The sequence below is a fragment of the Homo sapiens genome, chromosome 19 (assembly GCF_000001405.40).
Source record: "Homo sapiens chromosome 19, GRCh38.p14 Primary Assembly".
Taxonomy (NCBI): domain Eukaryota; kingdom Metazoa; phylum Chordata; class Mammalia; order Primates; family Hominidae; genus Homo; species Homo sapiens.
Window position 1 is genome coordinate 17405662 of NC_000019.10, and position 24346 is coordinate 17430007.

Sequence of the window (24346 nt, forward strand, 5' to 3'; positions counted from 1 at the left end):
GTCCTGACCAATAGCAAGTTCCAGGAAGTGCTCTGACCAGCAGCTCTTGCATGAGGCACCTACAGGCAGAGGATTAATTAGGTTTTCAGTTTCAGTTTCCCAGAAAGGAGGTGGGCTTTTTTTTCACCCTGCTTTAAAAGCCCTTGGGCCCTTCCCAGCTGGGTGCCAGCCAACTGTGGCTGCCTGGGACACTCCATCTTAAGTCCCTGTGCCTCTGCTGTGTGTTACTGAGTGCCTAGGCCGTGCCAGCCTGTATTCATCTGTACTATGACCTGAAGAGGCAGAGGCCATCACTGTTGGTCCGGTCTCCACCTGGGGAAACTGAGGTTGCACAGTTGCGTGGTGGAGTGAGGGCAGGGCCTGGGTCTGGGGGCGGGGCCTGGGTCTGACCCCAGGGACTGGTTTTTGTGTTCAGGTGTCTCTGTGGTGACGAGCAGGGCTTCATCCAGTGCCTCTGTCCCCACCGAGGGGACTATGGGAGACATGGAGGGTGTGTGAGCAACAGGTGAGACTGGAGCCAGCTGAAAACTGGGAGACCGACCCAGCCAACAAACAATGTCGGTCTCTGTCTTGGCACCTGCAGGAAACAAGCTCCTACTTCCAGAAAAAGTGCTCCTGGGACTCCAGGATACCAGGTAAACTCTCTGAGCCTGTTTCTTCATCTGCAAAGGGGAATAACAGGGCCAGCCTCAGACACTGTCCATGTGGCCAAGAGAGCCAGGGCTTCCTACAGGAAATCAGGCCCATTATCGGCACCCAACTGCTGGGCATGACCGCTGAAAGGGGACTGCATGTTTTTCTTGTGGCTTCTTCAGCCACATCCTGACCACAGCCCAGATTCTGTTAGGTCTGCCATTTCCATGTTTTTTTTTCTTTTCAGCAGGGCCAGACAGTAGGCGAGGTCAAGTCCAGAGCCCAGGCCTCCCAGAAGGCCTGGGGAACTCCCCCCAGGCCCTGACTCCAACATCCCTCAGAAGGACCCCATTAAAGCCACTTAGAGCCAGGCATGGTGGTACATGCCTGTGGTCCCAGGCTGAGGCTGGGAGGCTGAGGCAGGAGGATCACTCGAGCCCAGGAGTTTGAGGCTGCAGCGAGCTATGATTGTGCCACGGCACTCAAGCCTGGGTGATAGAGTGGGATCCCATCTCTTAAACCAATAAACAAAAAAATCACTTAGAACCAAGAACCAATTAACAAGCTGTGGGAGATGATCTTGCTGAAAATTCTGAGGGTGAACTTGTCCCAGGAGGAGGGACCTACCAGCCTGGCCAGGACTCCAGGTGCAAAGACACGACCTTTGCCTGACTTATTTGACTAAGCTGACTTATTTGAGCAGCACTGTTCTGGCCTGCTAACTTTAGGGTTAGTTTGGGACCAGGTCGGAAATCACAATTGCATGAATTGCACATTGGAGGCCAGGGTGGTGCACCTCTGGGCAAATGAATTTCCTCTCTTAGCATTGATTTCCCCAGCTGTAAAATGTGGATAATAATAGATTGATGTCCTCTCTAAATTTTGCAGCTGTAAACAGTCCCAGCCCTGCAAACCGAAAGTTTGTTGCTCTTCCCTTTAAAATTACTGTAGGGACCAGCCCCACAGGGTCAGTGGGTCTCTCCCTGTGTGCGGCGACGAGAGAGTGTAGAAATAAAGACACAAGACGAAGAGATAAAAGAAAAGACAGCTGGGCCCGGGGGACCACTACCAGCAATGCGCGGAGACTGGTAGTGGCCCCGAATGTCTGGCTGTGCTGTTATTTATTGGATACAAAGCAAAAGGGGCAGGGTAAAGAGTGTGAGTCATCTCCAATGATAGGTAAGGTCACGTGGGTCACGTGTCCACTGGACAGGGGGCCCTTCCCTGCCTGGCAGCCGAGGCAGAGAGAGAGAGAGGGGACAGACAGAAAGACAGCTTATGCCATTATTTCTGCATATCAGAGACTTTTAGTACTTTCACTAAATGACTACTGCTATCTAGAAGGCAGAGCCAGGTGTACAGGATGGAACATGAAGGCGGACTAGGAGCGTGACCACTGAAGCACAGCATCACAGGGAGACGGTTAGGCTGCCAGATAACCGCGGGCGAGCCTGACTGATGTCAGGCCCTCCACAAGAGGTGGAGGAGCAGAGTCTTCTCCAAACTCCCCCAGGGAAAAGGAGCCTCCCTTTCCCGGTCTGCTAAGTAGTGGGTGTTGTTCCTTGACACTTTTCGCTACCGCTAGACCACTGTCCGCTCGGGCAACGGGCGTCTTCCCAGACGCTGGCGTCACCGCTAGACCAAGGAGCCCTTCTGCTGGCCCTGTCCGGGCATAACAGAAGGCTTGCACTCTTGTCTTCTGGTCACACCTCACTATGTCCCCTCAGCTCCTATCTCTGTATGGCCTGGTTTTTCCTAGGTTATGATTGTAGACCGAGGATTATTATACTATTGGGATAAAGAGTAATTACTACAAACTAATGATTAATGATATTCATATATCTCTAAGATCTATATTTGGTATAACTATTCTTGTTTTATATTTTATTATACTGGAACAGCTCGTGTCCTCAGTCTCTTGCCTTGGCACCTGGGTGGCTTGCCGCCCACAATTACAAATGGTGGGATGGGTGCAGTGGCTCATGCCTGCAATCCTAGTACTTTGGGAGGCTGAGATGGGAAGATTGCTTGAGGCCAGTAGTTCGAGACCAGCCTGGTCAACATAGAGAGATCCTATCCCTATTTAAAAATAAATATATATATATATTTTAAGTACATATATTTATTTTATTTTGTTTTAATTAATTAATTAATTAATTAATTTTTTTTGAGATGGAGTCTCGCTCTTGTTGCCCAGGCTGGAGTGCAGTGGCACGATCTTGGCTCACTGCAACCTCTGCCTCCGGAGTTCAAGCGATTCCCCTGCCTCAGCCTCCTGAGTAGCTGGGATTACAGGCGCCCACCGCCATGCCTGGCTTATTTTTGTACTTTTAGTAGAGACAGGGTTTTGCCATGTTGACCAGGCTGGTCTTGAACTCCTGACCTCAGGTGATCTGTCTGACTCAGCCTCCCAAAGTGCTGGGATTACAGGCGTGAGCCACTGCACCTGGCCTATATTTTATTTTATATTTTTAAATATATAATGTATTTTTATATATTGGTTGGTGCAAAAGTAATTGCGGTTTCTGCCATTACTTTTTTTTTTTTTTTTTTGAGAGGGAATCTCTCTCTGTCGCCCAGGCTGGAGTGCAGTGGTACGATCTCGATCACTACAACCTCTGCCTCCTGGGTTGAAGCGATTCTCCTGCCTCAGCCTCCTGAGTAGCTGGGACTACAGATGCCTGCCACCATGCCTGGCTACTTTTTGCATTTTTAGTAGAGATGGGGTTTCGCCATGTTGGCCAGGCTGGTCTCAAACTTCTGACCTCAGGTGATCCACCCAACTTGGACTCACCAAGTACTGGGATTACAAGCGTGAGCCACCGTGCCCGGCCTATATTTTATTTTATATTTTTAAATATATTCTCCCTCTGTCACCCAGGCTGGAGTGCAGTGGTGTAATCTCGGCTCACTGCAACCTCTGCCTCCTGGGTTGAAGTGATTCTTCTGCCTCAGCCTCCTGAGTAGCTGGGACTACAGATGCCTGCCACCATGCCCAGCTACTTTTTGTATTTTTAGGAGAGACGGGGTTTCGACATGTTGGCCAGGCTGGTCTCGAACTCCCGACCTCAAGGGATCCACCCGACTTGGCCTCCCAAAGTGCTGGGATTACAGGCATGAGCCACCGCTCCCAGCCTCTGCCATTACTTTTTTTTTTTTTTTTTTTTTTTTGAGATGGAATTTCACTCTTGTTACCCAGGGTGGAGTGCAATGATGCAATCTTAGCTCACCACAACCTCTGCCTCCTGGGTTCAAACAATTCTCCTGCCTCAGCCTCCCTAGTAGCTGGGATTACAGGCATGCGCCACCATGCCCGGCTAATTTTGTATTTTTAGTAGAGAGGTTTAGGTTTCTCCATGTTGGCCAGGCTGGTCTCAAACTCCCGACCTCAGGTGATCTGCCCGCCTCGGCCTCCCAAATTGCTGGGGTTACAGGCTTGAGCCACCGCACCCAGCCTTTTTTTGTTTTTTTCTTTGAGATGGAGTCTCGGTCTGTCTCTCAGGCTGGGGTGCATTGGCACGATCTCGTCTCACTGCAACCTCTGACCTCCGCCTCCTGGGTTCAAGCAATCCTGCTGCCTCAGTCTCCTGAGTAGCTGGGATTACAGGTACCCGCCACCACGCCCAGCTAATTTTTGTATTTTTAGTAGAGACGGGGTTTCACCATGTTACCCAGGCTGGTCTCGAACTCCTGACCTCATGATCCGTCCATCTCGGCCTCCCAAAGTACTGCGATTACAGCCATGAGCCACCACGCCCGGCCTTCCATTACTTTTAATGGCATTAATTAATTATGCTTACTAAAAGTTATGGCAGAAACCACAATTACTTTCGCAATAAAATTAGAAATGGAAACTGTTATGCTACCATTCTTTTTCTTTTTTTATTTTCTTTTGAGACAGAATCTTGTCCTGTTGCCCAGGCTGGAGCGCAGTGGTGCAATCATAGCTCACTGCAGCCTTGACCTCCTGGGCTCAAGCAATCCTCTCACCTCAGCCTCTGGCGTAGCTGGGACTATATGTGTGCACCACCACGCCCAGCTAATTTTTTATTTTTTGTAGAGATGGGGGTCTCAGTATGTTTCCCAGGCTGGTCTCAAACTCCTAGGCTCCAAAGATCCTCCTGCCTCAGCCCCCGCAAAGTGTTGGAATTACAGGAGTAAGCCACTGCACCCAGCCGCTAGCATTCTTTTGGTTTTAGCTTCATATATATATATATATATATATATATATATATACACACACACATATATATATACACACACATATATATACATATATATACATATATATATACACACATATATATATACACATATATATATATAATTATTATTATTTTAGAGAAACATTTCAGTTGGGAGCAGTGGTTCATGCCTGTAATCCCAGCACTTTGGAGGCTGAGGCGGGTGGATGACCTGACGTCAGGAGTTCGAGACCAGCCTGGCCAACATGGTGAAACCCTGTCTCTACTAAAAATACAAAAACTAGCCAGGCGTAGTGGCAGGTGCCTGTAATCCCAGCTACTCAGAAGGCTGAGGCAGAAGAATCGCTTGAACCCAGAGGCAGAGGTTGCAGTGCAGTGAGATCGCGCCACTGCACTTCAGCCTGGGCGACAGAGTGAGACTCTGTCTCAAAAAAAAAAAAAAAGAAAAGAAACATTTTATTTTATTTTATTTTATTTATTTATTTTTGAGACAGAGTCTCACTCTGTCACCTAGGCTGGAGTGCAGTGGCGCGATCTCCACTCACTGCAACCTCCAACTCCCTGATTCAAGCAATTCTCCTGCCTCAGCCTCCCAAGTAGCTGGGATTACAGGCATGCGCCACTACGCCCAGCTAATTTTTGTATTTTAGTAGAGACAGGGTTTCACCATGTTGGCCAGGATGGTCTCGATCTCCTGACCTCGTGATCTGCCCACCTCAGCCTCCCAAAGTTCTGGGATTACAGGCGTGAGCCACCGTGCCCGGCCAACATTTTATTTTAGAATAGTTTTAGATTTGCAGAAAAAAAACAGTGAGGATAATAGAATTTCCCACATTCCCTACACCCAATTTCCCCTCTTTTATTTATTTATTAAAGACAGGCTCTTGTTCTGTCGCCCAGGCTGGAGTGCAGTGGTGTGATCATAGCTCACTGCAGCCTTTGACCTCCTGGGCTCAAGCGATCCTCCCACCTCAGCCTCCCGAGTAGCTGGGACCACAGATGCTCAGTACCACACCTGGCTAATTTTTTTACTTTTTTTGTAGAGATGGGGTCTCACTATGTTGACCAGGCTTTTCTCAAACTCCTGGGCTCAAGCGATCCTCCTGCCTCAGCCTCCTGAGTAGCTGGGACTACAGCCACTCACCACCATCACGCCCAGCTAAGTTTTGTATTGTTTGTAGAGACGGGATCTCTGTATGTTGCCCAGGCTGGTCTCAAACTCCTGGGCTCATGTCATCCTCCTTCCTCAGCCTCCCAAGGTGCTGGGATTATAGGTGTGAACCACTGCACCTGGCTAAGAAAAAAAAAATAGGAGCAAAGATCATCCGCAACCATCCCTCAGCTGTTTCATTTCTGTTTATTACACTACATGCATATTTCACTTACTTTGGGATACTGAGATGTGGCCCCGGATGGGCTTCTGAGGACAACTCCATGCCTGTAGGAAGTCGCTGGCCCCAGGGCGCTCAGCGGGTGGGGGCGATTCTGCTCCAGGGGACATTTTTATTGTCACCGCGGGGGCTGGGAGTGCCGCTGCCATCTAGGGATGTAGGCCAGGGATGCTGCTCAACACTACAGTGTACAGGACGGCCCCCCACAGTAAATGATCAAGCCCCAAGTGTCAGAGGTGCCACCAGACGTGACAAGCCCTGCCCTGGGGAGAACTGAGTGCAGGTTTGGAGTCAGACTTGGGCTCAAATTCCATCATGGCGAACCAGCTCCTTTCCCTCGGGCCTCTGCTTTTCTTTCTCTCTCTTTTGCTCTTTCTCTCTCTCTTTCTTTTTTGAGATGGAGTCTCACTCTGTTGCCCAGGCTGGAGTGCAGTAATGCAGTCTTGGCTCTCTGCAACCTCTGTCTCCCTGGTTCAAGTGATTGTCCTGCCTCAGCCTCCCAAGTAGGTGGGATCAAAGGTGTGTGCCACCACGCCCGGCTAATTTTTGTATTTTTAGTAGAGACGGGGTTTCACCATGTTGGCCAGGCTGGTCTCAAACTCCTGGCTTCAAGTGTTCCACCCGCCTCAGCCTCCCAAAGTGCTGGGATTACAGGTGTGAGCCACTGCCCCCAGCCAACCTCTGCTTTCTTATAGCGGGGGTGTGATAACAGCTGCTTCCCAGTCAATTGGAATGTCCACACAAATTAGAAACTGAAACAGTATCTCCATCAACTCAGAGAAAACAGTAAAAAGAAAATAGGCGGTGAGATTTCTCATCAGTTACATTATTCTGACTTTAATTAGTGTCCAGGGAAACTGAAACTATAGCTATACCTAAGATAAACATTTGAAGAAGGAGTAAAGGAAAGATTAATTTTGCAGCTGTCTCAGGGTCTGGTGGAGGGCTGATGGATGTCATCCTGTCTTTGTTTTGCACCGGGGAAAGTAAGCTTGTAATCAGTGCTGTCAGGATGAAATTCAGCAGACTGGTTCCGTGGACAAGGGGTCACATAGAGCTTGTAAACCTAAGGTTACGTATCTTTGTTTACGGGAGGCTGGACATCTTGGAAAGATTTAGGAGTAAGCAAAGAATTTACGTATGAACAATTTGTGAGGGTGATCATCTGGAGATGTGTGAGGGCTTTTTTTTTTTTTCTTTTTGTAGGCATCTGGGTAAGCTACAATGCTTAACCACTTAACACAATCAGGAAGCAACAGCCATGCATTCGGGAAAGGAACTTCAGTGTTGTGTGGCTCAGTCTCCAGACCTAACTTTCCCTTTGGTACAGACGCGGTGGTACATGCCTGTAATCCCAACACTTAGGCAGGAGGATCACTCGAGCCCAGAAGATCAAGACTAGTGTGAGCAACAAAGTGAGTTTCCCCCCACCCCTCACCTCAACAAAACATTTAAAAATTAGCTGGACATGGTGGCTGCGCCTGTGGTGGCTGGAGTGCAGTGGTGTGATCTTGGCTCACTGCAGCCTCTGCATTCAAGCAATTCTCCTGCCTCAGCCTCCTGAGTAGCTGGGATTACAGGCACCTGCCACCACGCCTGGCTAATTTTTGTATTTTTAGTAGAGACCGGGTTTCACCATGTTGGCCAGGCTGGTCTCCAACTCCTGACCTCAGGTGATCTGCCACTCAGGAGGCTGGGTAGGAGGATCCCTTGAGCCCAAGGGGTAGGAGGGTCCCTTGAGCCCAAGAGATCAAGGATGCAGTGAGCCATGTTCGCATGACTGCACACCTGCCTGGACAACAGATGAGACCATGTCTCAAAAACAAACAAACCAATACAAACAACAACAACTTTTCCTTTGGCAAACTGCCTTTGGAAGGTCCTCATATTTTTATTTTCTTTGACAGGAAAAAGCAATATATAGAAAGTGCTTAGCTTAGCACTTTGTACATTACAGTTCCCCATCATAGTTTGCCCTTGTCATTTGATAAGTTTTGGACTTGACTGCAGGCTTTCCTTAAACTGAACTCCCAGAAGTGGGGTTACTGGGTCCAAGGGGATGCCTATGTCCCAAGCTCTCACTTCCCATAAAGAAGAATTCAGAATTCGGCCAGGAGTGGTGGCTCACACCTGTAATCCCAGCACTTTGGGAGGCTGAGGTGGGTGGATCACCTGAGGTCAGGACTTCGAGAACAGCCTGGACAAAATGGTGAAACCCTGTCTCTACTGAAAATACAAAAATTAGATGGGCTTGGTGGTGGGCACCTGTAATCTCAGCTACTTGGAAGGCTGAGGCAGGAGAATTGCTTGAACCCGGGAGGCGGAGGTCACAGTGAGCCGAGATCGCACCATTGCACTCCAGCGTGGGCTACAGAACAAGACTCTGTCTCAAAAGGAAAAAAAAAAGAATTCAGAATTCACCTGTCGCCTGCTGCTGCAGTGAACAGTGAGTGGCACTCCTCTCTCACACCTATCACAGGTATTCTTCTTTTCCTTCCAGATCCTTCCCTGGCACCGGTTCCAGGAGGACCTCGTTCTTAGGCAGCATCTGTGTCTCTGTTTTGTAAGACACACAGAGTATCCTTAACCCACTGCAGATATTTCCCTGGGTCCATGGTCAATCAACACCACCTTTCAGTCTCCAGCCTCTTAACCAGCCCAGGGCTGAGTGTTGTTTATAGTATTAATATGTTTCTGGCTGGGCTCAGTGGCTCATGCCTGTAATCCCGGCACTATGGGAGGCTGAGGCAGGCGGATCACTTGAGGTCAGGAGTTCAAGACCAGCCTGGCCAACATAGTAAAACCCCGTCTCTACTAAAAATACAAAAATGAGCCGGGTGTGGTGGCGTGTGTCTATAATCCCAGCTACTCGGGAGGCTGAGGCAGGAGAATTGCTTGAACCTGGGAGGTGGAGGCTACAGTGAGCTGAGATCATGCCACTGCACTCCAGCCTGGGCAAGAAAGTGAGACTCCATCTCAAAACAAAGAAACAAACAAAGTATTAATATGTTCCCCTTGATCAGTGGGGTGGTTCACCCTTGTAATCCCAGCACTTTGGGAGGCAGAGGCTGGCGGATCGCTTGAGTCCAGGAGTTCGAGACCAGCCTGGGTGAACTAGCAAAACCCTGCCTGTACTAAAAATACAAAAATTAACTGGGCTTGGTGGTGCGAGCCTGTAATCCCAGTGGAGGCTGAGACAGGAGAATCCTTTTGTAATGCCTGACCTTGTTTTTTTACTAACCCTATTTTAACCTTGTTTTTACTAACCCTATTTTTAAATTTTCCCTTTTTGTCTCCTTAATTACCTAGCCTTGTTTCCCATATGAGTAGACTCTCCCTTAGCTGGGAAAGCCTGACGAACGCCATCTGGCCCCTTGATTTACAAGACATTAAGGGCTACTTACCCAACCCCCTTCCTCAAAGAGTTAACCTGCGTAAGCAGATCCTCAGCATTTCAAAGGAGCCCAATTAGCTGATAAGGTACTGGAACAAACAATGTACGAAGTTCCCAGGATTTTGCTCAAAAGCATAACAACATAAAGCCTTGAGTCTGTGTCTGGCATAGCATCCATATCTAACTCTTATGAAGGATTTAGAGCCCGGCACCTGGTTCCGTTGCTTTTTTTGTAACCATTTGTCTTTTAAATTGTTTATTTCTCTGTAACCATTTGTTTTTTGATTCTTGCATGTTTTTACTTCTGTAGAATTATTGCATTTGAGCTCCGCTCCCCTTCCGAACCAAGGTATAAAAGTAAATCAAGCCCCTTCCTCGGGGCCGAGAGAATTTTGGAAAGTCAAGCCTTCTCTTGGCTGCCGGCTTAAATAAAGGACTCTTAATTCGTCTCGAAGTGTGGCGTTTTCTCTAACTCGCTTGGGTATAACACTTTGAGCCTGCGAGGCAGAGTTTGCAGTGAGCCGAGATCACGCCACTGCACTCCAGCCTCGGCAACAAGAGTGAAACTCCGTTTCAAAAAACAAAAACAAAACAAAACAAAAGAACCCTCACAATCTTCCTGCACCCAACTGATGAAATCACCATTGCAAAAGTTATATCAGTGAGAACATTAGAACAGTAAGCTAAGCTAACCCAAACCCCACCTTACTTTTCCCTTAATTATTCCTGGGCTACTGGGTCGAGCTAACTTTGGAAGACATTTAGGCTATGGTTTAAATAACAGGCCTTGCCAAAAACTCAACCACTTATTTTTTTGAGACGGAGTCTTGCTCTGTCGCCCAGGCTGGAGTGCAGTGGTGTGATCTGGGCTCACTGCAATCTCTGCCTCTGGGTTCAAGCAATTCTCCTGCCTCAACCTCCTGAGTAGCTGGGATTACAGGCGCATGCCACTGAGTAGCTGGGATTACAGGCGCATGCCACCAAGCCTGGCTAATTTTTGTATTTTTAGTAGAGACAGGGTTTCACCATGTTGGTCAGACTGGTCTCGAACTCCTGACCTTGTGATCCACCCACCTCAGCCTCCCAAAGTGCTGGGATTACAGGCTTGAGCCACCGTGCCCAGCCTGCTTTTTTTTTTTTTTTTTCCTTGAGACAGAGTCTCATTCTGTCACCCAGGCTGGAGTGCAGAGGCACCATTTCTGCTCACTGAAACCTCCACTTCTGGGGCTCAAGCAATTCTCCTCTCTCAGCCTCAGGAGTAGCTGGGATTACAGGCGCCTGCCACCAAGCCTGGCTAATTGTTTTGTATTTTTAGTAGAGATGGGGTTTCACCCATGTTGGCCAGGCTGGTCTCCAACTCCTGACCTCAAGTGATCCGTCCACCTTGGCCTCCCAAAGTGCTGGGGTGACACTGTGCCTGGTCTCAACCACCCTTTTTTTTTTTTTCCTCTGTCACCCAAGCTGGAGTGCAGTGGCATGATCTTGGCTCACTGCAACTTCCGCCTTCTGAGTTCAAGCAATTCTCCTGCCTCAGTGTCCGGAGTAGCTGAGACGACAGGTGTGCACCACCACCCCCTGCTAATGTTTTGTATTTTTAGTAGAGATGGGGTTTCACCATGTTGGCCAGGCTGGTTTCGAACTCCTGACCTCCACCCGCCTTGGCCTCCCAAAGTGCTGGGATTACAGGAGTGAGCCATCACTCCTGGCATAGAAAGTTTTTCTCATCCATTGTCCTCCTCCTCTTCTTTCTTCATCTTCCTCTTCCACTTTTTTCCAGGCAACTTTAGCAGGACCCTTTGCACCGTCAAACTTTCCTTTCAACTTACAGTCAGCAACCTCTTCCTCATATTTCTTCTTCAGCTTTGCCGCCTTAGTGACGTCAACCTGCTTTTCACTGTCACTTCAGCTATTCCACATCTCACCCAGAGCTTTTTTTTTTTTTTTTTTTTTTTTTGCCACATCTCCAATAGAGATGCCAGGGTTTGCGGATTTGATCTTGGGGTGGAATTCTGAACAGAACATGAAGAATCCAGACAGTTGGTTGGGTGTGATGGCTCATGCTTGTAATGCCAGCACTTTGGGAAGCCAAGGCAGGTGGATCACCTGAGGTCAGGAGTTTGAGGCCAGCTTGGCCAACATGGTGAAACCCCATCTCTACTAAAAATACAAAAATTAGCCAGACGTGGTGGTACGCGCCTGTGGTCCCAGCTAATCTGGAGGCTGAGGCAGGAGAATAGCTTGAACCTGGGAGGCGGGGCTTGCAGTGAGCCGAGATTGCGCCACTGCACTCCAGCCTGGGCAACAGAGCGAGACTCCGTCTCAAAAAAATAAATAAATAAATAAATAAATTTTAAAAAATAAAATAAATAAATTAAATAAAATAAAAAATAAGAGTCCAGACGGTGGCCTTTTGGGGACATTAGGCTCTTTCTTCTTGCTTCCCCTTTAGCTGCTCTATAATCCTTCATTTCCCGATCCTAGTGTACTTTATCCGCCTTTGCCATTTCATCAAATTTGGACTTCTCTTTCACTGACACTGTCTTCCAACTCTCAGAATATTTCTTGGAAAATTCTGCAAAATTGACAGGGACCTCTGGGTTTTTCTTCTTCTTCTTCCTTTTTTTTTTTTTGAGATGGAGTTTCACTCTGTCGCCCAGGCTGGAGTGCAGTGGCACGATCTCCGCTCACTGCAACTTTCTCCTCCCAGGTTCAAGCGATTCTCCTGCCTCAGGCTCCCGAGTAGCTGGGACTATAGGCGCCTGCCACCATGCCCAGATAATTTTTGTATTTTTAGTAGAGACGGGGTTTCACCATGTTGGCCAGGATGGTCTCAATTTATTGACCTCATGATCCGCCTGCCTTGGCCTCCCAAAGTGCTGGGATTACAGGCGTGAGTCACTGTGCCAGGCCGGTTTTTCTTCTTATGTTCTTCTCTGTACATCTGCACAAAAAAACTATAAGCAGACATTTTGCCCTTTGGTTTCTTGGGGTCACCATTAGCCATCCTGACTGTATTGTTTGCTAGTCTGGGCAGCGCAGGACACTTGTTCGCTATTTTTCTAAACTTTTCCCCCAATGGGTGTAAAAAAGCATATTATTATTATTATTATTATTATTATTATTATTGAGACGAGTTTCGCTCTTGTTGCCTAAGCTGGAGTGCAATGGCGCGATCTCAGCTCATTGCAACCTCCACCTCCCGGGTTCCAGTGATTCTCCTGCCTCAGCCCCCTTAGTAGCTGGGATTCCAGACGCGCACCACCACGCCTGGATAGTTTTTTGTACTTTTAGTAGAAACGGGGTTTCACCATGTTAGGCTGGTCTCAAACTCCTGACCTCAGATGATCCGCCCGCCTCGGCCTCCCAAAGTGCTGGGATTACAGGTGTGAACCACTGTGCCCGGCTTAAAAGCATATTATTATAGTAAATACTTTTTTTCCCTTTCTTTCTTTCATTTTAAACACTGGGGTCTCCTTATGTTGTCCAGGCTAGATTCAAACTCCTGGACTCAAGCGATCCTCCCACCTCAGCCTCCCTGTTACCCTGTTGCCATGACAGCCCTGATAAAATAACTGGGAAAGTTCTCTTTCTTATTGTAAGTCCAAAAAAAAAAAAAAAAAAGGCACAGCTGCTTAAAGATTGCAGACAGCCAGGGATGTCCCCAGACCTTCTTGACCCCTGACCAGATACCAGAGGAAGATAAGATCCCTAAATCACCACAAACTGGAACAGACGACCTCTAGTCGACTTTAGATCATCAATATATAATTATAATGCTAAAATTCCTTCTCTTAAAAGAAAATCTCCATTTTGTGTAGATGGGTTGTATGAAGACAACCCAGGAATTGAGGCTCATGAATTGAGCCTGCGTGTCTGGAGTCCCACCCTGCACATGCTAGCATTCCTCTCCCTTCCTGTACCCAGGGGAAGAAACAATAAAACGTTATGCTTTTTACTGTTGAGGGAGAAGGGGCAGTTAGAGTGAGAGCCTCTCCTTCTCCATTCCTGGCCAGTGAATAAAACCTGATTGCCTTTTCCGATTGGATGTTCCTTCTTTGCCACCTACACAAAGTGGGGAGGTAACTCGGTTTGCTGGTGGCATCCTCAGTAGCTGGGACTACAGGCAATAAATTCTTTTATACGTCGCTTTTTAAACGTATTGTGCCTGTGAACAAATCTTCAAGTTATACCCAAGATTTCAAAGCTCATGATGGTCCATAGTACTCGCTCTTTAAATCAATAGCTGCGTATCCCACAGATGATTTCCTTTGGGATGATTTCCCAGAACTGGAATTGCAGATTCTTCACAATGCATTTTTAGTAGAGAAGGGGTTTCACCACGTTGGCCAGGAGGGTCTCGATCTCTTGACCTCATGATCCGCCCGCCTCCGCCTCCCAAAGTGCCGGGATTACAGGCGTCAGCCACTGCGCGCGGCCACAAAGCTCCCAACTTTTCCGTTAAGCACCGAGCTTTTTTCTAGACTAGCAGCTGAGGCCGGAAGGAATTCTGGGGAACGTAGTGCAGACTTGCAGAGAACGAGTCTCTTGGTCCTGTGCCGTAGCATTTCCGGCGGAAGTTGCTGGGCGCGGAAAGCCGGCAAGACCTTTTTTTCCGCCATCATCGCTCACGCGCGCAACCCTGGCGACGCGTGGTGGCGAGGCTCCGCCTCCCCACGCCATTGGCCAGCAGCTCCTCGGGCACGCGTATACTGCGCTTCCGGGCAATCTCCGCCCCCCCCCCCCGCATGGCCTTCTGGGAGTTGTAGTTCGGTCGCGAGCGCTGCCGTCGGGAGGCGCTCCGAGGTTCGAGGCTGTGCCCCGCGACCCCGCCTTCGGCGCTCGGCTCGCAGGATGGATCCCGTACCCGGGACAGACTCGGCGCCGCTGGCTGGCCTGGCCTGGTCGTCGGCCTCTGCACCCCCGCCGCGGGGGTTCAGCGCGGTGAGCGGCGTCGAGGGGCGGGGGTCGAATGGGGGAGGCAGTCGCTGTGGGGTGGGAGTCCGGCGCTGACCCGCGTCCTCCCGGTAGATCTCCTGCACCGTCGAGGGGGCACCCGCCAGCTTTGGCAAGAGCTTCGCGCAGAAATCTGGCTACTTCCTGTGCCTTAGTTCTCTGGGCAGCCTAGAGGTAAGAGGTGCCCACCTTCGGAACCACCAGGGTCTGCCCACCTCCCCTGCCCATTCACGGTGCCCTATGCCAGGTGCGCTGTCCCCGCTGCTAGCCACCCTCGCCGTGTCCCCCTTCCACCCCCAGAACCCGCAGGAGAACGTGGTGGCCGATATCCAGATCGTGGTGGACAAGAGCCCCCTGCCGCTGGGCTTCTCCCCCGTCTGCGACCCCATGGATTCCAGTAAGGGCTGCTTCGGAGGCGAGAGTTGTCCGGGTCCCTTGCAGGGAGGAGCGGGGGAGGAGGGACGACGGGCGCGCGGTATCTGAGCCTCGGCTGCCCCCTGGCACACGGGGTGATGACAGGGTTGGCTGAGGACTCAGAGCCCTGCCCTAGGGTGGACCGACATCCCCTGTCCTGATTCAAAATGTGTGATATGATTGGCACAGCCTGCATCCTCGAGTTAAGTGTTCAGTCCACGCCACCTGTTTCACTACTGTTGTGCTACTTGTGTCTTTTTACACCATAGCCAAGCAAAACCACTGCGCAGTTTTCTTTTTCATTTCCAGGCTTTGCACACGCCGCTTCCTCTGCCTGGGGCACTTTTTCTCTCCTTTTTGTAGCTCATTCTCCGTCCTCCGTCAGATGTCACCTTCACCCTTCCCTACCCCTCCTCTTCTGGGCCCACAACCCTAGTGCAGCCCTCCCAGCCCCACCTGAACTTTCCCACCCTTTCTTGTCATTTTTATTTGACTCAGGCTATATTCATTCATACTAGAGTTGGCAAACCTTTTTTTTTTTTTTTTTCTTCAGACGGAGTTTCGCTCTTGTTGCCCAGGCTGGAGTGCAATGGCGCGATCTCAGCTCACCACAACCTCCGACTCCCGGGTTCAAGCGATTCTCCTGCCTCATCCTCCAGAGTAGCTGGGATTACAGGCATGCGCCACCACGCCTGGCTAATTTTGTATTTTTAGTAGAGACGGGGTTTCTCCATGTTGGTCAGGCTGGTTTCGAACTCGTGACCTCAGGTGATCCACCTGCCTGGGCCTCCCAAAGTGCTGGGATTACAGGCGTGAGCCACCGCACCCGGCCAAACTTTTTTTCTTTATTTTTTCTTAGAGTTGGCAAACTTTTATGTAAAGGGCCTTATAGTAAATATTTTAGGCTTTACAGGGCAGATGATGTGTTTTGCATATTCAATTTTTTTACAATTCCTTAAAAATGTAAAAATCACTCTTAACACATCAGCTGTATGAAACCAGGCCTTAGGCTTGGTGTGGTGGTTCACACCTGTAATCCCAGCACTTTGGGAGCCTGAGGCGGGCAGATCACCTGAGGTCAGGAGTTCCAGACCAGCCTGGCCAACATGGTGAAACCCTGTCTCTACTAAAAATACAAAATTAGCTGGGCATGGTGGTGGGCGCCTGTAGTCCCAGCTACTTGGGAGGCTGAGGCAAGAGAATTGTTTGAACCTGGGAGGCGGAGGTTGGAGTGAGCTGAGATTGCGCCATTGCACTCCAGCCTGGGCGACAGAGTGAGACTCTGTCTCAAAAAGAAAAGAAAAGAAAACAGACCTTGAGCCAGATTTGGCTCATGGGTGCTAGTTGTCCAACCTCTATAGGATTAGAGGGCTCATGGAAAGTAAGTTTTGAGGGCCACGATGGGCACCCAGCTCTGTCCGATTCCACAGCTAGCCACCCCATGAATGCAGCTTCATATCACCAAAGATCAGCCTACTCCAGCGGTTCCTAAAGGCTGCATGGAATCCCCTCCTTCATCTATACCATTCATGATTTAACCACTCCTCCCACCCCCATCCCCAATGTTGTCCATGTGGCTGCCTTAAACAGCACCCTGGCGAGCCTCATCCTAGAGTCATCTTTGGGCCTTCCCACCCCTGCCTGGCTTCCCTCTCTCACTCCCCTACCCCCCACTCCCAGAGGCCTCTGTGTCCAAGAAGAAACGCATGTGTGTGAAGCTGTTGCCCCTGGGAGCCACGGACACGGCTGTGTTTGATGTCCGGCTGAGTGGGAAGACCAAGACAGTGCCTGGATACCTTCGAATAGGGTAGGGCCACCCCCCAGTGTCTAGCCACCTTCCCTGCCCTCCCAACTCATGATCTCACCAATCTGACCCTCAAGGACACCCCTGAGGTCTCCTGTTCCTTCTTCTACCTTCTGAGCCTCAGATTCTGCATGTTAAAACCGGGACATATATATCATCTTGTAGGACTGTCATTAGGAGTCAGTGACTTGGTGTCTAAAGTAGACATAACAGGACTGGGCGCGGTGGCTCACGCCTGTAATCCCAGCACTTTGGGAGGCTGAGGCGGGCCGATCACAAGGTCAGGAGATCGAGACCATCCTGACTAACATGTTGAAACCCCATCTCTACTGAAAATACAAAAAATTAGCCGGGTATGGTGGCACACGCCTGTAGTCCCAGCTACTTGGGAGGCTGAGGCAGGAAAATCACTTGAACCTGGAAGGCGGAGGTTGCAGTGAGTTGAGATCGCGCCACTGCACTCCAGTCTGGGGCGACAGAGCGAGACTCCGTCTCAAAAATAAAATAAAATAAATAAAAATAAAGTAGACAGAACGGTGATTTGAACCCAGCAGTATTAGTTTGGTGTGGTGCTTCGGGTGTGGGTCAAGATGCTGAAACAAAAATCCCCCAAAAGACTGGGCACGGTGGCTCACGCCTGTAGTCCCAGCACTTTGGAAGGCCAAGGCGGGCGGATCACCTGAGGTCAGGAGTTCGAGACCAGCCTGGCCAACATGGTGAAACTCCGTTTCTACTTAAAAAAAAAAAAAAAAAAAAAAAATTAGCTGGGCATGGTTGCCTGTAATCCCAGCTAATCCAGAGGCTGAGGCAGGAGAATCGTTTGAACCTGGGAGGTGGAGATTGCAGTGAGTCTAGATTGCGCCATTGCACTCCAGCCTGGGCAACATGAGCGAAACTCCGTCCCCAAAAAAAAAAAAAAAAAAAATTCCCCCAAAAGACAGAGGTCACCTGCATGCCCGGGTCCCCCGCCTTCTCCAGGGGCTATCCTCAACCCTGGCCCCACACCGGGCCAGCATCCCTCCCACCTTCCCTCCTGGTCCAGGGACATGGGCGGCTTTGCCATCTGGTGCAAGAAGGCCAAGGCCCCGAGGCCAGTGCCCAAGCCCCGAGGTCTCAGCCGGGACATGCAGGGCCTCTCTCTGGATGCAGCCAGCCAGCCAAGGTGAGTCCTCAGGCACCGGAGTGGGGGTGGCCGTTGTGGGAGGATGAGGCTTAACCTGAGTCATCCCACCTCCAGTAAGGGCGGCCTCCTGGAGCGGACAGCGTCAAGGCTGGGCTCTCGGGCATCCACTCTGCGGAGGAATGACTCCATCTACGAGGCCTCCAGCCTCTATGGCATCTCAGGTGAGCACAGAGTGGGGAAACTGAGGCGTGGAAGTGGAGGGTGTGACTGTCTTGAGATTACACAACCAGGAAGGATCTTCCTACTTCCCTCTCCCAACTCTGGATTCTGTAAAGACTGAAGGAGCCAGGCTGTGCGGGTTGGGCCTCTGTGGGTGGGGTGGGCAGTTCCCTACACCTCACCTCCTCCCCTCGCACGTGTTTTTCAGCCATGGATGGGGTTCCCTTCACACTCCACCCACGATTTGAGGGCAAGAGCTGCAGCCCCCTGGTGAGTCGGGGTCTCAGGGAGCCTGGGTCTGCGCCTGCCATCACCATTCTGGGTGCCAGGACATCCCTGTATCCAGTGCCCCAGCACAGAGGGCCACATCCTGGGTTGGGGCTGGAGTGTGTCACCTCCAGGTGGCAGCTGGAAGGTCTTCAGTCTTAGAATGGGGAGGGATCCATCCAGAGAAAGCAGCTGGACACCAGTAGCTAGAGGCTGTGACAAGAAGGGGGAGGGATGCTGGGCATGGTGGCTCACGACTGTGATCCCAGCACTTTGGGAGACCAAGGCAGGTGGATCACTTGAGGCCAGGAGATCGAGACCAGCCTGGCCAACATGGTGAAACCTCGTCTCTATTGAAAATACAAAAATTAGCCAGGCGCGGCTTTAGAGACTTTGTCTCTAAAAACAAAACAAAACAAACAAGAAAAATAAGGGGGAGGGATGTCCGAGGGAATATTCGGGGAGTGTTGGGGGGAGGGCAGGACCCCTTGAAGACGAAGGAAAGGGGGTTTCAGGTTGAGATCGGGCCCAAGGCTGACCCACCTCTGCCCGCCAGGCCTTCTCTGCTTTTGGGGACCTGACCATCAAGTCTCTGGCGGACATTGAGGAGGAGGTGGGTGCAGGGCTAGGGAGGAGGTGGGTGCAGGGCTAGGGAGGAGGTGCCTGAGGGGCCGGCACCCGCCCCTCGTCCGCCCCAGGCTGTCCCAGTTTTCCCCATCCCCGCTTTGCCCCAGACACACACCATCTCTCCAGGGCAGAAGACCACTCAAGTCCCTAAGTACCCACTCTGCCATTCCTCAGTCACTCCCCCTTTGGCCCTCTCTTTACTCTGGCACCTGTTCACTCTCTCTCTCCCCATCCCCCAGTATAACTACGGCTTCGTGGTGGAGAAGACCGCGGCTGCCCGCCTGCCCCCCAGCGTCTCATAGTCCCTCACCCTTCCGCGGAAAGAGCCCCCTTACTCCACCTCCCCGCCAGCCTGGGGCCACCCCCCCTCACTGCATCCTGGGGCCACCCCCACTCACTGCATCCTGGGAACCTTCGCCCTGCAAGGCGTTTGCTATCTTCAGCCACTGGGCGGAGCTGCAGCCCTGGAGGAGGGGGCGGGTCGAGGCTGCGTGGTGATGGGGTCTCCGCCCCCACGCCCTGCCGGGCAGGGCTGGAGCTGGACAGAAGCCAGTGCCTTTAAGTCATTTGTGTCAAAACCCTCTGGGGTCCGGAGGCTGTGCGGGTGTCCTCCTGGCAATAAACACTACCCGGTTCTCGCCCTCTGGAGTCCTGATCCTGCCGCCTGTCCACACTAGGCACTCTTGCACCGGGCAAGTGGGTGAAATCATGGCAGGGAGGCGGTGCTGCTGGGTCTCCCGTTTGTTGTTGTTGTTGTTGTTGTTGTTTGTTTGTTTTTTTCTGAGACGGGGGTCTCCCTCTGTGTCCCAGGCTGGGGTACGGTGGCACGATCTCGGCTCACTGCAACCTCCGCCTCTGGGGTTCAAGCGATTCTCCTGCCTCAGCCTCCCGAGTGGTTGGGATTACAGGCGTCCGCCACTACGCCCGGCTAATTTTTTGTATTTTCTATAGACGGGGTTTCACTGTGTTGGCCAGGCTGGTCTTGAACTCCTGACCTCAGGTGATCCGCCCGCCTCGGCCTCCCAAAGTGCTGGGATTATGGGCGTGAACCATCGCGCCTGGCTTGGGTCTTCCATTCTACAGAGTGGGAAACAGGCTCAGGGAGTGAGTGAGTCTGGATTCTAGATCATAGAGAAGACCTTGTCCCGGCCCTTCATCATTGGGCATAATAATAAAACAAGTACTGTTTCTACTGCAGTGGCCACATCCCCAACACGCGATACACCATTATTACCTCATTCAGTCTCCCTACAACCCACTGGGAAGCTCAGGTTTTGTTGCCATTTTCCAGATAAAGAAACTGAGATGGGGATGCTAAGGCCACAACTGGGACTGAAACCCAGCAATTGCTGTCTTTTTTCTTTTCTTTTCTTTTCTTTTTTTTTTTTTGAGACAGAGTCTTGCTCTGTCACCCAGGCTGGAGTGCAGTGGCGTGATCTCGGCTCACTGCAAGCTCCACCTCCCAGGTTCACGCCGTTCTCTGGCCTCAGCCTCCTGAGTAGCTGGGACTACAGGCACCCACCACCACGCCCGGCTAATTTTTTATATTTGTGGTAGAGACAGAGTTTCACCGTGCTAGCCAGGATGGTCTCGATCTCCTGAGCTTGTGCTCCACCCTCCTCGGCCTCCCAAAGTGCTGGGATTACAGGTGTAAGCCACAGCGCCCAGGCCTTTTTTTTTTTTCTTTCTTTTTTTTTTTGAGACAGCGCCTCATGCTGTCACCCAGGCTGGGTGAAGTGGCATGATCTCGACTCACTGCAACCTCTGCCTCCCAGATTCAAGTGATTCTCCTGCCTCAGCCGGCACCCCTTGCTGCTGAGTAGCTGGGACTACAGGCTTGGGCCACCATAACCAGCTAATTTGTATTTTGTATTTTTAGTAGAGACAGCGTTTCACCTTGTTGGCCAGGCTGGTCTCAAAGTCCTGACCTCAAGTGATCCCCCGCCTTGGCCTCCCAAAGTGCTAGGATTACAGGTGTGAGCCACTGCGCCCGGCCCAGGCCACACCATTTTCATCCACCAATTCATACAACCTTGTTTTATGTACATTTGTTTAAAAACACCTTATTTAATATCTATGGTGGATTCATTTACATTGAACTCACAGCCAACAGCACCGAAACTCACGTCTGCATAAAGCTTCTCTATAATGGATTTTCTCCATGAGGTGCATCACAGACTTTTTTTTTTTTAAGTATTTTATTTTTGGCATGATCATAGCTCACTGCAGCCTTGACCTCCCGGGCTCAGGTGATCCTCCAATCTCAGCCTCCTGAGTAGCTGGGACTACAGGCTACACTGGGCTAATTTAAAATTTTTTTTGTACTGATGGGGGTCTCACTATATTGCCCAGGCTGGTCTTGAACTCCTGGCCTTGGGCAGTCCTCCTGCCTCGGCTCCCAATGTGCTGGGATTACAGGCATGAGCCGCCGAGCCCAGCCATTGCAGCCTTTTGGTACTTAGGAAGCCTGGACAGCATTTCGGTGTCTGGGGGAATTTCAATGGCAAAATCACCAACAAAAACCACAAGAACATGGCCAGGCACAGTGGCTCATGCTTGTAATCCCAGCACTTTGGGAGGCCGAGGTGGGTGGATCACCTGAGGTCAGGAGTTCGAGACCAGCCTGGCCAACATAGTGAAACCCCATCTCTACCAAAAATACAGAATTAGCCAGGCTTGGTGGCAGGTGCCTGTTATCCCAGCTACTTGGGACACTGAGGCAGCAGAATCGCTTGAACCCTGGTGGGTGGAGGTTGCAGTGAGCTGAGATTGTGCCACTGCACTCCAGGCTGTGCAACAAGAGTGAAACTCCATTTCAAAAAAAAAAAAAAAAAAAAGAGAAGAAATTCACCACCCTAAACTCACACCTTCCTTCTCCCATAAGTGCATGCCCATGGACGTGTACGATGGCTGCTATGCTGCTGTTTCTCCTCTGGGCTGTTGTAGTCTTGTGGTGGCCCACATTCTGCTGCAGTTGGAAACATCCCCAGATCTCTGTGGTTTAGAAAAGCTGGCCAGGCATGATGGCTGATACCTGTAATCCCAGCACTTTGGGAGGCCGAGGCAGGCAGATCACCTGAGGTCAGGAGTTCGAGACCAGCCTGGCCAACGTAGTGAAACCCTGTTTCTACTAAAAATATAAAAATTAGCTGCGTGTGGTGGCACACGCCTGTAATCCTAGCTGCTTGGGAGGCTGAGGCAGGAGAATCGCTTGAACCCGGGAGGTCAAGGTTGCAGTGAGCCAAGATTGCACCATTGCACTCCAGCTTTGGCAACAAGAGTGAAACTCCATCTCAAAAAGAAAAAGAAGAACTAAGGCTGTCATACTTGGAGTCTCACATCTGTAATCCCAGCACTTTTGGGGGCTGAGGCACGAGGATCGCTTGAGGCCAGGAGGTCGAGGCTGCAGTTTGCTATGATTGCGCCACTGCACTCCAGCCTGTGTGACAGAGTGAGACCCTGTCTCTAAATAAATAAATAAGTAAGGCAGGGCACGGTGTCTCACGCCTGTAATCCCAGCACTTTGGGAGGCCGAGGCGGACGGATCACCTGAGGTCGGGAGTTCAAGACCAGCCTGACCAACATGGAGAAACCCCCGTCTCTACTAAAAATGCAAAATTAGCGGGGCGTGGTGGCGCATGCCTGTAATCCCAGCTATTCAGGAGGCTGAGGCAGGAGAATCGCTTGAACCCAGGAGGCAGAGGTTGTGGTGAGCCAAGATCGCACCATTGCACTCCAGCCTTGGCAACAAGAGCGAAACTCTGTCTGCAAAAAAAAAAAAAAAAAAACAGCCTGGGTGCAGAGCAAAACCCTATCTCTAAGTAAATGAATAAATAAATAGCAAAGCTAAGGCTTATTTCTTAGCGGCAATAGACTTTGTTAGTTGTAGTGGTACAGAAACTGGCCTAATGGGAGGGTCATTTTCTCACAGTGAGGACGGTGTTGTCTAAAGAAACATCCAAGCTTTTAAATAATTAAAGTTGGCCAGCCATGGTGGCTCACGCCTGTAATGCCAGCACTATCGGAGGCTGAGGCGAGAGGATCACTTGAGCCCCCGGGAGTTTGAGACCAGCCTGGGCAACACAGCAAGGCCCTGTCTGTACAAATTAAAAATTAGCCGGGCATAGTGATACCTGCCTGTGTAGTCCCTGCTACTCGAGAGGCTGAGGTGGGAGGATCGCCTGAGTCTGGGAGGTGAAGGCTGCAGTGAGCTATGATTGCATAACTGCACTCCTGGCTGGGTGACAGAGCAAGACCCTGTCTCAAAAAAAAAGAAAAAAAAAATTTGGGACTGGGTGCAGCGGTGGCTCACACCTGTAATCCCAGCACTTTGGGAGGCCAAGCTGGGAGGATCTGTTGAGCTCAGGAGTTTAAGGGCAGCCTGGGCAGCAGTGAAACACCATCTCTACGAAAAAAACACACATGATCGGGCATGGTGGCTCACGCCCGTAATCCCAGCACTTTGAGAGGCCAAGGTGGGCGGATCACGAGGTCAGGAGTTCAAGACCAGCCTGGCCAACATGGTGAAATCCCATCTCTACTAAATATACAAAAAAAAAAAAAAAAAAAAATTAGCCGGGCATGGTCGTGGGTGCCCGTAGTCCCAGCTACTCGGGAGGCTGAGGCAGGAGAATTGCTTGAACCTGGGAGGCAGAGGTTGCAGTAAGCTGAGATCACATCACTGCACTCCAGCCTGGGCAACAGAGTGAGACTCCCTCTTAAAAAAAAAAAAAGAAAAAAGAAAAATCCACACACATATATAATTCAGATGATTGTTAAAAGTAAACAAGGCTTTATTCAAGACTACTGCATGGAAGATTGAGCTCAACTCGGAATCCACGAAGTTGTCACCAAGGGGGGATTTATAGCCACGGAGCAGGGCAAGGGGGGGTCAGTGGATAGAAAATTATAAAGGCTTGGGGAGTCACCTTAAACTCTCTTAATAGGATCCTTGCTGAAGCCAGGCCAGGGCGATCAGCTATCAAGAAACTGACTTAGCAGGATTCTTGCTAAAACTGGGCGACACAGATCAAAGACAGGATGGGAGCCAAGGTCACGGCCCAATGCAGAAGAGATTTCAGAGGACTCTGACTCAAGTTTGGCCAAGAAGAGAGTCTTTGTCGGGGCGGAGACCTGGCCTGGCCCTGGGAATCTGAGACGGGGGACAGTGCGTTCTCCTGGAAGGGGAGGTGAGCGGGGATGATGCAAAACGTACGCCCTTTCCCCAAACTCTTCAGCTGCCTTGGAAAAACTAGGTCTCTGATGCTAAGGCACCTGCCTGCATCTCCTGGCTCCCGGCACACGGATCATCTGCCA

At 50.6% G+C, this 24346-nt stretch overlaps 1 protein-coding gene, 1 long non-coding RNA gene and 1 pseudogene across 4 annotated transcripts, besides 10 other annotated features; 2 read left to right on the plus strand and 1 right to left on the minus strand.

Moving 5' to 3' along the window:
* Positions 1-380: an enhancer, noted in NCBI's record as "active region_14268". NCBI's record gives its function as "activates an Ori minimal core promoter by ATAC-STARR-seq in GM12878 lymphoblastoid cells {active_cell/tissue: GM12878}" and the evidence as "EXISTENCE:reporter gene assay evidence [ECO:0000049][PMID:35858748]".
* On the plus strand, positions 25-10075 carry BISPR (BST2 interferon stimulated positive regulator). 2 transcript variants are annotated; one of them, NR_130765.1, is made up of 5 exons: positions 25-334; positions 416-635; positions 7436-7443; positions 7560-7644; positions 8730-10075. It is a non-coding gene; the product is annotated as a BST2 interferon stimulated positive regulator (long non-coding RNA). The 2 variants fall into 2 exon arrangements; NR_130766.1 differs by having other exon boundaries at positions 25-110; positions 7436-7644.
* MVB12A (multivesicular body subunit 12A) lies at positions 80-19671 on the plus strand. 2 transcript variants are annotated; one of them, NM_001304547.2, is made up of 10 exons: positions 80-110; positions 416-635; positions 14652-14750; positions 14877-14973; positions 16671-16797; positions 17837-17956; positions 18032-18138; positions 18345-18406; positions 18960-19016; positions 19270-19671. In NM_001304547.2, exons 4-10 carry the CDS (start codon positions 14964-14966, stop codon positions 19330-19332), a joined length of 546 nt encoding a protein of 181 aa, NP_001291476.1. In that variant the 5' UTR covers positions 80-110; positions 416-635; positions 14652-14750; positions 14877-14963; the 3' UTR covers positions 19333-19671. The 2 variants fall into 2 exon arrangements, with proteins under 2 accessions (NP_001291476.1, NP_612410.1); NM_138401.4 differs by lacking the exons at positions 80-110; positions 416-635 and adding an exon at positions 14386-14564.
* Positions 571-630: an enhancer, noted in NCBI's record as "active region_14269". NCBI's record gives its function as "activates an Ori minimal core promoter by ATAC-STARR-seq in GM12878 lymphoblastoid cells {active_cell/tissue: GM12878}" and the evidence as "EXISTENCE:reporter gene assay evidence [ECO:0000049][PMID:35858748]".
* Positions 681-730: an enhancer, noted in NCBI's record as "active region_14270". NCBI's record gives its function as "activates an Ori minimal core promoter by ATAC-STARR-seq in GM12878 lymphoblastoid cells {active_cell/tissue: GM12878}" and the evidence as "EXISTENCE:reporter gene assay evidence [ECO:0000049][PMID:35858748]".
* Positions 931-980: an enhancer, noted in NCBI's record as "active region_14271". NCBI's record gives its function as "activates an Ori minimal core promoter by ATAC-STARR-seq in GM12878 lymphoblastoid cells {active_cell/tissue: GM12878}" and the evidence as "EXISTENCE:reporter gene assay evidence [ECO:0000049][PMID:35858748]".
* Positions 1681-2207: an enhancer, noted in NCBI's record as "H3K4me1 hESC enhancer chr19:17518151-17518677 (GRCh37/hg19 assembly coordinates)". NCBI's record gives its function as "activates a minimal SCP1, AML or CMV promoter by ChIP-STARR-seq in naive H9 embryonic stem cells {active_cell/tissue: H9 hESC(naive)}" and the evidence as "EXISTENCE:reporter gene assay evidence [ECO:0000049][PMID:30033119]".
* Positions 9253-10040: an enhancer, noted in NCBI's record as "OCT4-NANOG-H3K27ac hESC enhancer chr19:17525723-17526510 (GRCh37/hg19 assembly coordinates)". NCBI's record gives its function as "activates a minimal SCP1, AML or CMV promoter by ChIP-STARR-seq in naive and primed H9 embryonic stem cells {active_cell/tissue: H9 hESC(naive and primed)}" and the evidence as "EXISTENCE:reporter gene assay evidence [ECO:0000049][PMID:30033119]".
* On the minus strand, positions 11370-12627 carry HMGB3P29 (high mobility group box 3 pseudogene 29; annotated as a pseudogene).
* Positions 13923-13972: an enhancer, noted in NCBI's record as "active region_14272". NCBI's record gives its function as "activates an Ori minimal core promoter by ATAC-STARR-seq in GM12878 lymphoblastoid cells {active_cell/tissue: GM12878}" and the evidence as "EXISTENCE:reporter gene assay evidence [ECO:0000049][PMID:35858748]".
* Positions 14133-14342: a silencer, noted in NCBI's record as "silent region_10343". NCBI's record gives its function as "represses an Ori minimal core promoter by ATAC-STARR-seq in GM12878 lymphoblastoid cells {active_cell/tissue: GM12878}" and the evidence as "EXISTENCE:reporter gene assay evidence [ECO:0000049][PMID:35858748]".
* Positions 14483-14712: a silencer, noted in NCBI's record as "silent region_10344". NCBI's record gives its function as "represses an Ori minimal core promoter by ATAC-STARR-seq in GM12878 lymphoblastoid cells {active_cell/tissue: GM12878}" and the evidence as "EXISTENCE:reporter gene assay evidence [ECO:0000049][PMID:35858748]".
* Positions 18192-18717: an enhancer, noted in NCBI's record as "H3K4me1 hESC enhancer chr19:17534662-17535187 (GRCh37/hg19 assembly coordinates)". NCBI's record gives its function as "activates a minimal SCP1, AML or CMV promoter by ChIP-STARR-seq in primed H9 embryonic stem cells {active_cell/tissue: H9 hESC(primed)}" and the evidence as "EXISTENCE:reporter gene assay evidence [ECO:0000049][PMID:30033119]".
* Positions 19672-24346: the final 4675 nt, after the last annotated feature.

Coding starts and splice junctions, on each gene's coding strand:
- MVB12A (NM_138401.4), top strand. CDS start 14,475: ATGGATCCCGTACCCGGGACAGACTCGGCGCCGCTGGCTGGCCTGGCC. Junction 17,957..18,031: donor GATGCAGCCAGCCAGCCAAG/GTGAGTCCTCAG, acceptor TCCCACCTCCAG/TAAGGGCGGCCTCCTGGAGC. Junction 19,017..19,269: donor TGGCGGACATTGAGGAGGAG/GTGGGTGCAGGG, acceptor CCCATCCCCCAG/TATAACTACGGCTTCGTGGT.